The sequence below is a fragment of the Homo sapiens genome, chromosome 3, assembly GCF_000001405.40.
Source record: "Homo sapiens chromosome 3, GRCh38.p14 Primary Assembly".
Taxonomy (NCBI): Eukaryota; Metazoa; Chordata; class Mammalia; order Primates; family Hominidae; genus Homo; species Homo sapiens.
In genome coordinates, this window is record NC_000003.12 from 58,957,355 (window position 1) to 58,972,018 (window position 14,664).

General features: G+C 36.2%; 1 protein-coding gene and 1 long non-coding RNA gene across 29 annotated transcripts in view; one reads left to right on the forward strand and one right to left on the reverse strand.

Annotated features, from left to right (window-relative positions):
* Positions 1-14,664, reverse strand: part of CFAP20DC (CFAP20 domain containing) — a 333,853-nt gene that overhangs the window by 241,182 nt on the left and 78,007 nt on the right. The window lies entirely within an intron of this gene.
* CFAP20DC-AS1 (CFAP20DC antisense RNA 1) overlaps positions 1-14,664 on the forward strand; it is a 194,623-nt gene that overhangs the window by 132,884 nt on the left and 47,075 nt on the right. Inside the window, exon 2 of the long non-coding RNA NR_110820.1 lies at positions 13,004-13,214. This is a non-coding gene — a long non-coding RNA (CFAP20DC antisense RNA 1). The remainder of the gene's footprint in view (positions 1-13,003; positions 13,215-14,664) is intronic.

The window sequence follows — 14,664 nt, forward strand, 5'->3', positions numbered from 1 at the left end:
ATGCTATCAAGGATGTGGAGAAATGGTAACCCTTGTACACTGTTGGTGGGAATGTAAATTAGTACAGCCACTATGGAGAACAGTTTTGAGGTTCCTCAAAAAACTAAAAATAGAGCTCTCACATGATCCAGCAATCTCACCACTGGGTATATACCTAGAAGAAGGGAAATCAGTATATCAAAGAGATATCTGAACTCCCGTGTATGTTGCAGCACTCTTCACAATAGCCAAGATTTGGAAGCAAACCAAGTGTCCATCAACAGATTAATGGATAAAGACAATGTGGTACTTACATACAATGGAGTATTATTCAGCCATAAAATAGAATGAGATTTAGTCATTTCCAACAATATATGGAATTGGAGGTCATTTATTCAGTAAAAAAAAGCCAAGCACAAGACAAACATTGAATGTTCTGACCTATTTGTGGAATCTGAAAATCAAAACAATTGAACTCATGGAGACAGAGTAGAAGGATAGTTACTAGAGGCTGGGAAGTGTAGCGGGCAGGTGGTGAGGACATGGGAATGGTTAATGATTACCAAAAAAATAGAATGAATGAATAGGACTTAGTATTTGATATCACATAGGGTGACTATAGTCAATAATAATTTAATTGTACATTTAAAAACTAAAAGTATAATTAGATTATTTGTAAAACAAAAGATAATGCTTGAGAGGATAAATAACCTAGTTTCCATGATGTAATTATTACATATTACACATGCCTGTATCAAAACATCTCAGGTACACCATAAATATATATGCCTATTATGCACCCACAAATTTTTTAAAAATTATTTTTAAAAAATCCCTTATGCTTGTTTGCAGACCACCTCTACTCAAACTCCCAGCCCCAGACAATACCAATCTGGTTTTGGTCTCTAAATTCACCTTTTCTGGATATTTCATATAAACGTAAAAAAATATATAAAATATTTTGCATCTGGCTTCTTTCACTTAGCATAACGTTTTAAGATTCATTCATATTGCAGAATGTATGGTAACTTTTTATTACAGAATAGTATTCTACTATATGGATGTATCACATTTTGTTGATCTATTCACCAAATGAGTTGATGGAACTGCAGGCTGTTTCCACGTTTGGCCAACCTGAATGATGCTGCTATGAGTATTCATGTTCAACTCTTTATGTGGACACGTTTTCACTGTTCATAGGTACATATCAGGAAAAGTGGCTGTGCTGTTTCATATTCCATCAGCAAAGTATGAGAGTTTCATTCTCTTCACATCCTCACCAACACCTGATATTATATTTTTGATCACAGCCATTATAGTGGGTGTGAGGTATTATCTCATTATGGCTTTAATTTACATTTCTTCAATGATACATAGTATTGAAAATACTGTCATGTGGTTTTTAGCCCTTTGTCTTTTTTTTCTGTGAAATGCCTATTCAAACCTTTTACCAAATTTTAAACTGGATGATATATTTTCATATTATTAATTGTAATTGTAAAAATTTTAAAATATTTTGTGTACAAGAACTTTATCATACATATGATTTGCAAATATTTTCACCAGTCTGTGGTTTGTCTTCATTTACTTATGTCTTTTGAAACACAACATTTTAAAATGTTGATAATGTCCAATTTATCATTTTTTTCTTATACTAATCATATTTTAGTATTATATCTACAAACCCCTTCACTAACCCAGGGTCATAAATATTTCCTTCTATTTTCTTCTAGAAGTTTTATAATTTTAACTCTAACATTTATTTTTTTCTCTTTTTTGAGATGGAGTTTCACTCTCGTTGCCCAGGCTGGAGTGCAATGGTGCCATCTCCGCTCACTGCAACCTCCGCCTCCCCAGTTTAAGCAATTCTCCTGCCTCAGCCTCCCAAATAGCTGGGATTACAGGCATGTGCCACCATGCCCGGCTAATTTTGTATTTTTAGTAGGGACAGGGTTTCACCATGTTGGTCAGGCTGGTCTTGAACTCCTGACCTTAGGTCATACACCTGCCTCAGCCTCCCAAAGTGTTGGGATTACAGGCGTAAGCCACTGCGTCTGGCCAAAGTCTTATATTTGAGTCCAAAATCCATTTGAGTTTATTTTTGTTTACAGTGTGAGGCAAGGTTCTAAAATAAGTTTTATATATGTGACTATCCAAAGGTCTCAGCACTATTTGTTGAAAAAAACCTAGTCTTCTGCCCATTAAATTGCTTTAGCACTTCTGTCAAAAATCAACTGGCCATAAATGTAAGGATTTGTTTCTTGACTGTCATGCTGCTGCATTGATCTACATGTCCTCTTCATGCCAGTAACATACTAACTTGATTACTGTAGCTTTACAGTAAATTCTGGAATCACTAATTGTAATTTTGCCACCTTTGTTGTTCTTTTATAAAATTATTTTACCTTTGAATTCCATATAAATTTTAGAATCAGCTCATCAATTTCGACAAAAACAACAAGTGCTCACTGGGATTTTTCCTATCAAAAAAGTCTAATGAATTTGCAGAAGATTGTCATCTTAACAATACTGAATCTTCCAAATCAATGTCTCTGCATTTATTTAGATGTTTAATTTCTCTCAGCAGTGTTCTGTAATTTTCAGCATACAAATCTTGCACTACCTTTGTTAAATTTTCTGGTTTTTTTTCTTGATTCAGTTGTGATAAGCTTCTGCCTTTCAAGGAATTTTTCCATGTCAACCAAATTGTCTATGGAGTTGGCATAAAGTTGTTCACAGTATTCTCTTATCGTTTTAATTTCTAAAGGGTTATGAGCAGTGTTCTCCTGTTTCACTGATTTTGGTCATTTGTGTCTCCTCTCTTATTTTCTTAGACAGTTTAACAAAAGGTTTGTAAATTTTGTCCATCTATTCCTAGGCCGGGCGTGGTGGCTCATGCCTGTAATCCCAGCACTTTGGGAGGCCGAGGTGGGTGGATCACCTGAGGTCGGGAGTTCGGGACTAGCCTGACCAACATGGAGAAACCCCATCTCTACTGAAAATACAAAATTAGCCGGGCGTGGTGGTGCATGCCTGTAATCCCAGCTACTCAGGAGGCTGAGGCAGAAGAATCGCTTGAATTCAGGAGACGGAGGTTGCAGTGAGCCGAGATCACACCACTGCACTCCAGCCTGGGTGACACAGCAAGACTCTGTCTCAAAAAAAAAAAAAAAAATTCCTATTTTATTTTTTTGATGATGTTATTGTTACTGGGATTGGAATTGTTTTCTTAATTTCATTTTTCAATTGCTCTTTGGTAGTAGAAATGCAATCATTTCTGCATATATTGACTTTCATATTCTGCAACTTTGCTGAACTTGTTCATTCATTTTAGTAGTTTAAAAAATGCATTACATTGGATTTCCTATGGACACATGTTTATGATTAAAGACAGCTTTCCTTTTTCCTTTGCAATAAGGATGACTTATAATATTTATTTTTCTTGTCTTATTTCATTATACTAGAATACAATGGTAAATATAAATAATGAATGAAGTCATCCTTGTTTTGTTCCTAATCTTAGAGAGACAGCATTCAGTCTTTCATTTAGTATGATAAGCTATATGTTTTTCATAGTTTTCCTTCTTATCCTAGTTTGTGGAAAGTTTTCATCAGAAATGGATGTTAGATTTTGTTATATGCTTTATCTGTCCCTATTATGGTGATTATGTGTTTCTTGTTCTTCATTCTACTAACAGGGCATACTACGTTAATTAATTTTTGGATATAGACCCAACCTTTCATTACTGGGATAAATCCCACTTGGCCGTGGTATATAATCATTTTTGTATGTTTCTAGATTTTGTTTTCTAATATTTTTGTTGAAGGTTTTTATATGTGTATTTATGAAGAATATTAGTCTGCAGTTTTCTTGTGATGTCTTCATTGTCTTTGGTATCAGGATAATAGCGGTCTCATAATGAATAAAACTGTGCCTTGGCCAGGTGCGGTGGCTCACGCCTGTAATCCCAGCACTTTGGGAGGCCAAGGTGGGTGGATTACCTGAGGTCAGGAGTTTGAGACAAGCCTGGCCAACATGGTGAAACCCCGTCTCTACTAAAAGTACAAAAATTAGCCTGATGTGGTGGCGGGTGTCTATAATCCCAGCTACTTGGGAGGCTGAGGCAGGTGAATTGCTTGAACCCAGGAGGCAGAGGTTGCAGTGAGCGAAGATCACGCCACTGCACTCCAGCCTGGGCAACAAGAACAAGACTGTCTCAAAAAAACAAAAACAAAAACAAAAACTGTGCCTGTCCTTTTCTATTTTCTGAAATATTTGACATTTGATATATTTCAACAGCAAAGTAACCTGGGCTAGAATTTTTCTTGGTGGGAAGATTTTTAAATTATTAACTCAATTTCTTTACTTGTTATATGTCTATTGAAATTTTCTGTTTTTTTTTTCTTGATTCAGTTGTGATAAGTTTCTACCTTTCAAGGAATTTTTCCATGTCAACCAAATTGTCTATGGAGTTGGCATAAAGTTGTTCACAGTATTCTCTTATCATTTTAATTTCTAAAGGGTTATGAGCAGTGTTCTCCTGTTTTACTGATTTTGGTCATTTGTGTCTCCTCTCTTATTTTCTTGGACAGTTTAACAAAAGGTTTGTAAGTTTTGTCCATCTTTTCAAAGAACCAACTTTGGTTTCATTGATTTACTGTTCTGTTTTTACTCTTTTCTGATCTGTGATTTCTACTCCAGTATTTTCCTTCTGCTTTCTTTGCATTTAGTTTGCTGTTCTCTTTCTAGTTTCTTAGGGTGGAAACTTAGGTTATTGATTTGGGAATCTTTTTTCTTTCTTAACATATGAATTTACAGCTCCAAGTTTCCCTTTAACCACTACTTTGGCTACATTTCATACATTTTGGTATGCTGCATTTTCGTTTTCCTTCAGTTCTGATCTTTAAAGTATTTTCCTTATTATTCATCCTTTGACTCATTGGCTATTAAGACACACACTATTTAATTTATAAGTATGTGAGGATTTCCTCAATTTTTTATCTCATGTTTATTTTTAATTTAATTCCTTTATGGTCAGATAACATACTTTGTATAATTTCAATCATTTTAAATTTATTGAAACTCGTTTCATGGCCTAGCATTAAGACTTCTCCCAGAGAAAATTCCATGTGCACTGAAAGAGAATCTGTATTCTGAGATTTGTGACCACAAATTCTCTGTTCAGTATTTTTGTTATTACTTTACTTTTAAGCCTGGCTTCCTAGGGGTCACTGCTGTGTTAGCATTGCTTGGTGGTCACCAACAATTGGTCAGAGGCTGTGCTCAAACACTTTGTACTAGTAAAGCTTCTACCCTTGCTGATGGATCTATGCATCGATTATGGGACAATTCAAAGCTCAGGCCGTGAACGAGCCTGGCCCAGCTTTTACTCTCTGCTAGGCCCTCTTGTGTCTCCTCTGTAACTGCACAAGGCCTGTCATTTAACCAGAAATGTGTTGATAGCAAAGGCTCTTTTCAGTCTCTCCAGAATGTGAGCACGTAGCTTCCTGACCCCCAGGGATACGCAGGTACTTATTAAAGCTCAGTATGGCTGACTCCTTCCCTGGAGTGGCTAACATGCCAGTCTACTGCTTGCCCCAACCAGGATCTCAAACTCAGGCCAGCTGTGATGTTGGCCTTTTCTATTCATATACCACCAACATTGCTAAGGTTTCAACACAGGCAGAGTCATGGGGTATTTCCACTGTGCTCCAAATCAAGTCAGCTCGCTCTGGCAATGGAGCTGCTGATTTTCATTGACTGTACTGACAGAGCTGGGGAAAAAAAGGAGGGACTGCAGCAGCCCCAGACAAAGTTGCCACAGGCTTTCATACTTCTTCTCAAGGTTCAGTAGTTTGTGTGTGTGTGTGTGTGTGTGTGTGTGTGTGTGTGTGTGTGTGTGTGTGTTTTAATAAATGCTTCCTAATTTGTTGTAAGAGTTGATGTCCATAGTCCTGAAATGGTTATTATTGACTATTTTGTCCAGTTTTACTATTGCTTTTTTGGAAGATAATTTGCTGAGTTCCTTACTCTACCATTTTGTAATTCCTGCCACCTCTCATTTTAACCTCTGTCTTATTTTCCAGTCTTTTGCTCAAATCACAAGAATACTTGTGATCACAGCATGATCAAGTAAAACATGTCATTGTCAATTATCCTGAAATCAAGGATGAATGTGGCCCTACTACCCTTGGGAAAGATAATAAACTAAAAATGATTTTTATATATTCCCTTAAAGACCCATTAGATGGTAACAGAGAAGCCTCAAAATAAGAACCACTGTTTTTTTAATCCCCCTTCCAGAATTTTTAAGATACTTTCATTATTCATAAAAAGTAATGTATGCTCATTTTGGAAAATCTGGAAAACATGGAAAAGAGGAAAGAAAGATTAAATACCTAAAAATCATCCAAATCCTATGTAAACTAAAAATAAAATCCTAAGCCCCAGAACTGATTGAACAGATTACCTCTTGGCCAAGGGGACCCCAAACTGAGTTTACAGCCATGACAGGACAGGAGGTCAGACACACCTCACTATAACCCCTCCCTTTTGCAGTTTACACACAACTGACCAGCATTTATGTTAAAATAGAAGTTATAAGACTGAAAGAACAGACTCTGTGGCAATAAGATACCAAATTATAGACAGGACCTAAGGCCATCTAGGCAAGGGTTAAGTTATGCACTATTACACTTAAAGAATGAACTCTGTTCTAGCTGTCACAAGGTTTTTCTTTTTCTCTAGCAGTTAAACAAGCACTGGCCTTGTGATAAGCAATACTGAAGCAGCTGCAGCTTGCCAACCACCAGACACTTTCTGAGTTCCTTATTCCAGATGTCATAACTATAGCTTCAATCGGACAAGAGACTGATTTCAATAACCTTCTCCTGTTAAGAAGACTACCCACTATGGACTGGTTCTGGCCAGTTTAGGGAGGCTGGTCACTCAAATGCCTTCATGTCCTGAAAAGACCTTTTGAGGTACAGGGCCTAACTGTAATACATTTGAATGTTAAGTCTCCACCCCAAGGTGGGCATGTAACGTGTATGTTTCCTTATCACTCATGCACACAACCCTTTTCATGAATATTCATAGCTCCCCCTATATCTTGTTGAATATGTATATTTGGTTAACCTGGTCCACTTAAATTCCTATCTTATCCCTTCCTTCCTCGAAGTGCTTGCTTTGGGTTTTAAGCTGGAAACAATGCTCTCGCCTGTGGCTTGTAATCCCCTTTTTAAGAAATAAAGTTCTCTTTTCTAGACTTATAAATGCTGTGATTTTTAAGTTAACACCTACCACTTACTAATAATAATTTGAACTACTTATTTACATATTTTTGGTTTTGTGTGTACATCAAATTGCACACACATTTTTGTATTATGCATTCATGACAAAATATTTCTAACCTAAAACGGAACCATAATTAACATAGCTCCTATTAGATTTTGGTGATTACATCATTGTATACTGATTTTTGCAGGTATTTCTATTTTCTAAAGATAGGTTGCTGGATGTAGACTTGCCTGTCCAAATGATATGGACAGTCTAACACAATAGTGGACACTTGAAACCACTACTGAAATATTTTCTAAAAAGGTTCTGCCCAACCTACTACTCACATACTCACATCTTTGGAATTTAATTCATTTTCATTTTCATTTCTTTGCTTACCAAGGTTTGCATTTATTTGTGTTTCATATGCTCTTTATCTGTGAAATTTGTCTTCATACCTCTACCATTTCATTTAAAAGGGTCACAGTGGTTCTTCCTGTCCAGGGCCCTGCAACAACCATCCAGCGAGGTTGGCATTATGAGCTGAGCTGCTATTTTACAAATAAAGACACCAAGGCTCGAAGGTGTTAAGTTGCTGAATGTCATAAACCCAGTAAATGGTGGGAATGGGTTTCAAACCTAGATTTTACCACTCTAAAAGTTTATGTTTTTGCCATTATATTTCTTTCCATAGGTGAAGTAATCTAAAATAATAAAATGATTTGTTTACTTCTCTGATTTTAAAAGAGTGAAAAACATGAGCATTTGGGGATAAGTGGAAGCATAAAACCTCCTTGTAATTATGGCATTTAAACAGTATTATACCTCAATAAATCTTTTTTTTAAATTGTTCAAAGTTCAGGCTAAAGTTTAGGTTCTGGAGACAAGGGTATTAGGTACCAATCTCAGATGTGCCACATCCTAGCATTTAATCTGGGACAATTTACTTATCCTGTCTGAGCTTTACATAGTTGTAAATGAGGACAATAATAATAATATTTATTTCATATAGATAAAAGAATTAAAACTTTTTAAAATAATTTAATTCCTGCCATACAGTAAATGCTCAAATGTTATCTGTATAGCTAAATGAATTACATTAACTTTCACAATTATTAAAATAATGTTTCTAAATGTATTTCAAATAGACTCCTATACATAAAGTAGAATTAGTTTACTTGATTGATAGAACATAAGATACTGTAACAAGCTGATGTACAACATTCAAAAAAGAGTTACGTGGCATAGATGAAGAAGCACTTGGTGTTAGCTATTACTGAATGTTATTGTATGCCTGTGAAAATGGTAGAGAAAAGACCTCTGAACATTTTTGCTCCATAAAAGCAGTGAGAACACTGACAAAAATGGTCAGGATCAACTTTTCAAAACACTGGAAATTAACCAAAGGATTGCATCAGTCTGGGAAGTATTCAAGAAAAACGGCTGAGTATCAGTAAAGTACAGGGCCTTGGGGCTGGCAAGGCCGGGGCTCCCATCCTACTTTGTCCCTTCCTAAATGTGCTCATGTGGTCCTGCCACACACAAGCTTGACAGGTTCCTTCCTGAGCATCCCTTACAGCTTTCTCCATGCCTTCCCTGACCTTTGTCCCAGAAGTGACCCTTAAAGCCAGGGAATGGCCCTTGTTTTCTAAGAACAGAGGCAGAGAGGAGGTCTTGGCTGGGGCCAGACCACTATGTCCTTATTTGACCCTGTAATTCCACTCCCTCCTGAAACGTGTCCCTACGTCAGGCTTGGCCTGAAGTAAATACTAAGAAATAAATACTGAGAAATAAATTTAACAAAAGAAGTGCAAAACATATACATTGAAAACTACAAAATATCATTGAAATATACATATGTGTATATATATATATATACACATATGTGTGTGTGTGTGTATATATATAAATATATATATATATTTTTTTTAGACAGAGTCTCACTCTGTAGCTCAGGCTGGAGTGCAATGGTATGATCTCAGCTCACTATAACCTCAGCCTCCCGGGTTCAAGCGATTCTCCTACCTCAGCCTCCCGAGTAGCTGGGATCACAGGTGCCCACCACCATGCCTGGCTAATTTTTTGTATTTTTAGTAGAGACGGGGTTTCAGCATGTTGGCCAGCCTGGTCTCAAACTTCTGACCTCAGGTGATCCACCTGCCTCAGCCTCCCAGGATGCTGCGATTACAGGCGTGAGCCATCGCAACTGGCTGAAAAATATATTTTTTAAAAAATGAAATAAATAGAAAGATATGCCATGTTAATGGACTGGAAGACAATATTTTTAAGATGGCAATATTCCTACATTGTTAAAATGACAATACCCCCCACTCCACAAATGATCTACAGATTTAATCTATCCCTATCAGAATCCGAGCTGACTTCTTTGAGAAACTGACAAGCTGATTCTAAAATATGGAAATGCAAAGGACCCAGAGCAATCTTGAAAAGCATGAACAAAGTTGGAGGACTCCCATTTCCCGATTTAAAACTTATCACAAAGCTATAGTAAACATGACAGTGTGGTATCAGCATAATGACAGGCATATAAATCAGTGGAAAAAAATTGAAAGTTTAGAAATAAAACTACATTCAGAAATAAAACTACAGATAATTGAGTTCTAACAAGGGCACCAAGACAATTTAATGGGGGAAAGAATAGTCTTTTTACAGTGCTACTGAAACAACTGAATATCCACATGCAAAAGAAAAAAATTTGATCCCCATCTCACATCATATACACAAATTAACTCAAAATGGATCAAAGGCCTACATTTAAGAGCTAAAACTATACATCTCTTAGAATAAAATAAGTGAAAATCTTCATGCCCTCAGGATAGGTAGTAGTTTCTTAGATAGGATGGCCAAAGCACAAGCAATAAAAGAAAAAATAAACTAGACTTCATAAAAATTAAAAACTTTTGTCCTCAAAGGATGCTATCAAGAAAGTAAGAAGACAACCCATAGAATGGGAGGAAATTTTTACAAATCATATATCTGATAAGGGTATAGTACATAGAATAGATTTAAAAACTCATATGAATCAACAACGAAAAGATAATCCAATTAAAAATGGGCAAATAATTTATTTTTAATTTTTGAACTTCTATTTTAGGTTTAGGGGTACATGTGAAGGTTTGTTACATAGGTAAACTCATGTCATGGGGGTTTGTTGTACAGATTATTTCATCACCCAGGTGTTAAGCCCAGTACCCAATAGTTATCTTTTCTGCTCCTCTCCCTCCTCCCACCCTCCACCCTCAAGTAGACCCCAGTGTCTGTTGTTTCCTTCTTTGTGTTCATAAGGTCTCATTATTTAGCTCCCACTTATAAGTGAGAACATGCAGCATTTAGTTTTCTGTTCCTGTGATAGTCTGCTAAAGATAATAGCCTCCAGCTCCATCCATATTCCTGCAAAAGACATGATCTTGTTCTTTTTTATGGCTGCATAGTATTCCATGTAGTATATGTACCACATTTTCTTCATCCAGTCAGTCACTGATGGGCATTTAGGTTGATTTCATGTCTTTGCTATTGTGAATAGTGCTGCCATGAACATTCACGTGCATGTGCCTTTATGGTAGGATGATTTGTATTCCTTTGGATATATACCCAGAAATGGGATTGCTGGGTCAAATGGTAGTTCTGCTTTTAGCTCTTTGAGGAATCACCATACTGCTTTCCACAATGGTTGAACTAATTTACATTCCCATCAACAGTGTATAAGTGTTCCCTTTTCTCCACAACCTTGCCAGCATGTTACTTTTTTTACTTTTTAACAATAGCCATTCTGAGTGGTGTGAGATGGTATCTCATTGTGGTTTTTATCTGCATTTCTCTAATAATCAGTTGATATTGAGCTTTTTTTCATATGTTTATTGGCTACATGTATGTCTTCTTTTGAGATGTGTCTCTTCATGTCCTTTGCCCACACTTTAATGGGGTTGTTTTTCTCTTGTAAATTTGTTTAAGTTCCTTATATATTCTGGATATAAGACCTTTGTCAGATGCATTGTTTGTAAATATTTTCTCCCATTCTGTAGGTTGTCTGCTCACCCTGCTGATAGTTTCTTTCACTGTGCAGAAGCTCTTAAGGTTAATTAGATCCACTTGTCAATTTTTGCTTCTGTTGCAATTGCTTTTGGTGTCTTTGTCATGAAATCTTTGCCCGTTCCTATATCCAGGATAATATTGCCTAGGTTGTTTTTCAGGGCTTTTATAGTTTTGGGATTTACATTTAAGTGTTTAATCCATTTTGAGTTGGTTTCTGTATATGGTGTAAGGAAGGGGTTCAGCTTCAATCTGTTCCAAATGGCTAGCTAGTTATTCTAGCACCATTTATTGAATACAAAGTCTTTTCCCCATTCCTTGATTTTGTCAGCTTTGTTGAAGATCAGATGGCTGTAGATGTGTGGCCTTATTTCTAGGCTCTCTATTCTCCTCCACTGGTCTGTGTGCCTGTTTTTGTACCAGTACCATGCGTTTTGGTTACTGTAGCCCTGTAGTATAGTTGATGTCAGGTAACATGATGCCTGCAGCTTTGTTCTTCTTGCTTAGTATGGGCAAATAATTTAAATAGAAATTTCTTCAAGAAGGTATACAAATGGCCAATAAGCAAATGGAAAGATGCTCAACATTATTAATCAACAGTGAAATGTAAATCAAAACCATGAGATACCATTTCGCACCCACTGGGATGGGTATAATAAAAAAAGACTAACAATAATATGTCTTGATGAGGATGTGGAGAAATGAGAATCCTCATCATTGCTGATGGGAATATTAAACGATACAGCCTCTTTGGAAACAGTTTCAAATACGTAAAGTTCCATATGACCCAGCAATTTCACTCGTAGGTGAGCTCCAAGAGGATTGAAAACATATGTCCACACACAAACTGGTATATGAATTGTTCATAGCAGCATTATTAATAATAGCCAAAATGGAAACAACCCAAATGTCCATCAACTGATAAGTTAACTAATAAAATATGGTATATCCATACAATGTATTATTCTTCAGGCCTAAAAAGGAATAAATCACTAATATCCATGTTGTGTCTTTCATAGCAATAGAATGGAAACAATAGTTCTTATTCTTATCTATTCCACTCTACAATATGGATAAACCTTGAAAACATTATGCTAAGTGAAAGAAGCCAGACACAAAAGACCACATATAGTATGGTTCCACTTACATGAAGTATTTGAAATAGGCAAATCTAGAGAGACAGAGAGAAAGGGCTAAGGGTAGCAGGGAGTGGAGAGTACCTGCTAATGGGTACAGGTACTTTTCAGGGTGATGAAAACATTCAAAAATTACATAGTGGTGGTGGTTTCATAACTGTGAATTATACTAAAAATGACAGAATCATCCACTTTAAAAGGATAAATTTTATGATATGTGGATTATAACTGAATTTAAAAAAGCTATTACTAGTTTAGTCATTTATTGATGATGAGACTTTGGGTAAATGGAATTTTAGGAGAAAGGTATAGATAAAATGAGAACTACTATTTTTATTCCATTACTATGAAACACACTAGTTTCTTGGTGATGTCCTGAAATGTTAGTCATTGTGGGTTGAACTGTGTCCCCCACAAAGATATGTTCAAGTCCTAACCCTGGTACATGTGATTGTGACCTTATTTGTGAATAAGGTATTTGTAGATGTAATCAAATTAACATGAAGTCAGAATGGATTAGAGTGGGCTTAAATCCAATGACTGGTGTCTTTATAAATAGGGGGAAATCTGAACAAAGACAGACGGAGAGGATGCTGTGCGACAATGGAAGCAGAGATTGGAGTGATACACCTACAAACAAAGGAATCCGAAAGACTGCTGGCAATTGCCAGAGACTAGGACAGAGGGATGGTACAGATTCTCCCTCAGTGCCTCCAGAAGGAACCAATCCTGCCGAAACCTTGATTTTGGACTTTCAGCTTCCAGAAACAGTAAATATACATTGTTTTAAGCTATCCAGTTTGTGGTGACTTGTTATGGCAGCCCTCAGAAACCAATACAGTAATTTCCACATCATCAGTCTTGAAGAAAAAGGTTATAGGAACAGGAGTCAACCTCTTGGAGTTTCAATTTCCTCCCCTATAAATTGGGAATAATAACATCTGTCCTTCCATTGTACTGAGAAAATGATCATAAAAATACTAAGAAACTGATTTATAAATGCAGGGTATTACTCTTTCGGATGTATGCTTCTAATTGCTTTGTCAGCTCTAATTTATTGCGTTGTTCTCTTTCCCTTTCTTTAAGATCATCTATTTTCAAGTAACATTTGCCTTCCTTGGAGAAGTTACTGTTTGGGTGTTAAGTTGCTTATTTAAAAAATAACCATCTCTAGCATAAAAGTGAGAATTCAAATTATACATCTGTAACACCACCCACTCTCCTAACCTCCCAAGCATACACTTTGCCATAAATTGACAACAAATTCACCCTTCATTTTAGGAGATATCAAGCACTGTAACCTTTTGTTAATACACAGATGTAGGACATTGCTTGTTCCAGCTAATTGACTATTCTGTTGAGCCTAACAGTACCATCACAAACGATCACTTTCTGAAGCTTACCATAAAGAAGATATTTGGCACTGAAAGTACGTTTTTCACAAATCACAAATCAGTTAAGGATTCACAATTATCAACACAAACTATGATTATAAGATATTTCCAATTATTTATAGTCTTGAAAACTTTTTTTTAAAGTTTAAAATAAATTGCGCACCAATCAAAATTTGACAGTATCCAACAAGAGGAAAATCTGTCAAATGTTTTAAAATATCTCCGACATTCACTCTTTAGATCTTTCTATCCTTCCTCACCTATGCTCTCCAGAATGTATCACTATAATTGCAGAAGATTTTTATTCCTTAGGCAATATATACATTCTCTTTTTCATTTTTACACGAAAATCTCACACATATTTAAATAGAGGACATTTCACAGGTACACAAAGATACACACATGGATATTCATGGTAACACTAATAGCAAAACAGAGGGAAAACTTGGAGGTCCACCATAAGGATCTAGATAAATAGGTTATGTTCTAGCCATGCAATGGTATATATAGCGCTATTAAAAAGAGTGAGACAGATTTAGTAGTATGGAAATCGTCTCAAGGCAGGTAACAGAGAAAGCCCCACTGTCACTACCAAACCAAATGCCAAAAAGTGTGAATGGTATGATTCCACTTGTGGGAAAAAGGACTGTAATATCATACACACGCACACATACACACACACACACACACACACACACACAATTAAGCTCTAGAGGTACTCCCAAAAAATCCTGCTAAAAACAATTACCTTTGGAAAATGACTCCAAACTTTCTTATTATAGGTGTGGATTACTTTAATTCTGTATGCAATTTTAAAATGGCAGAG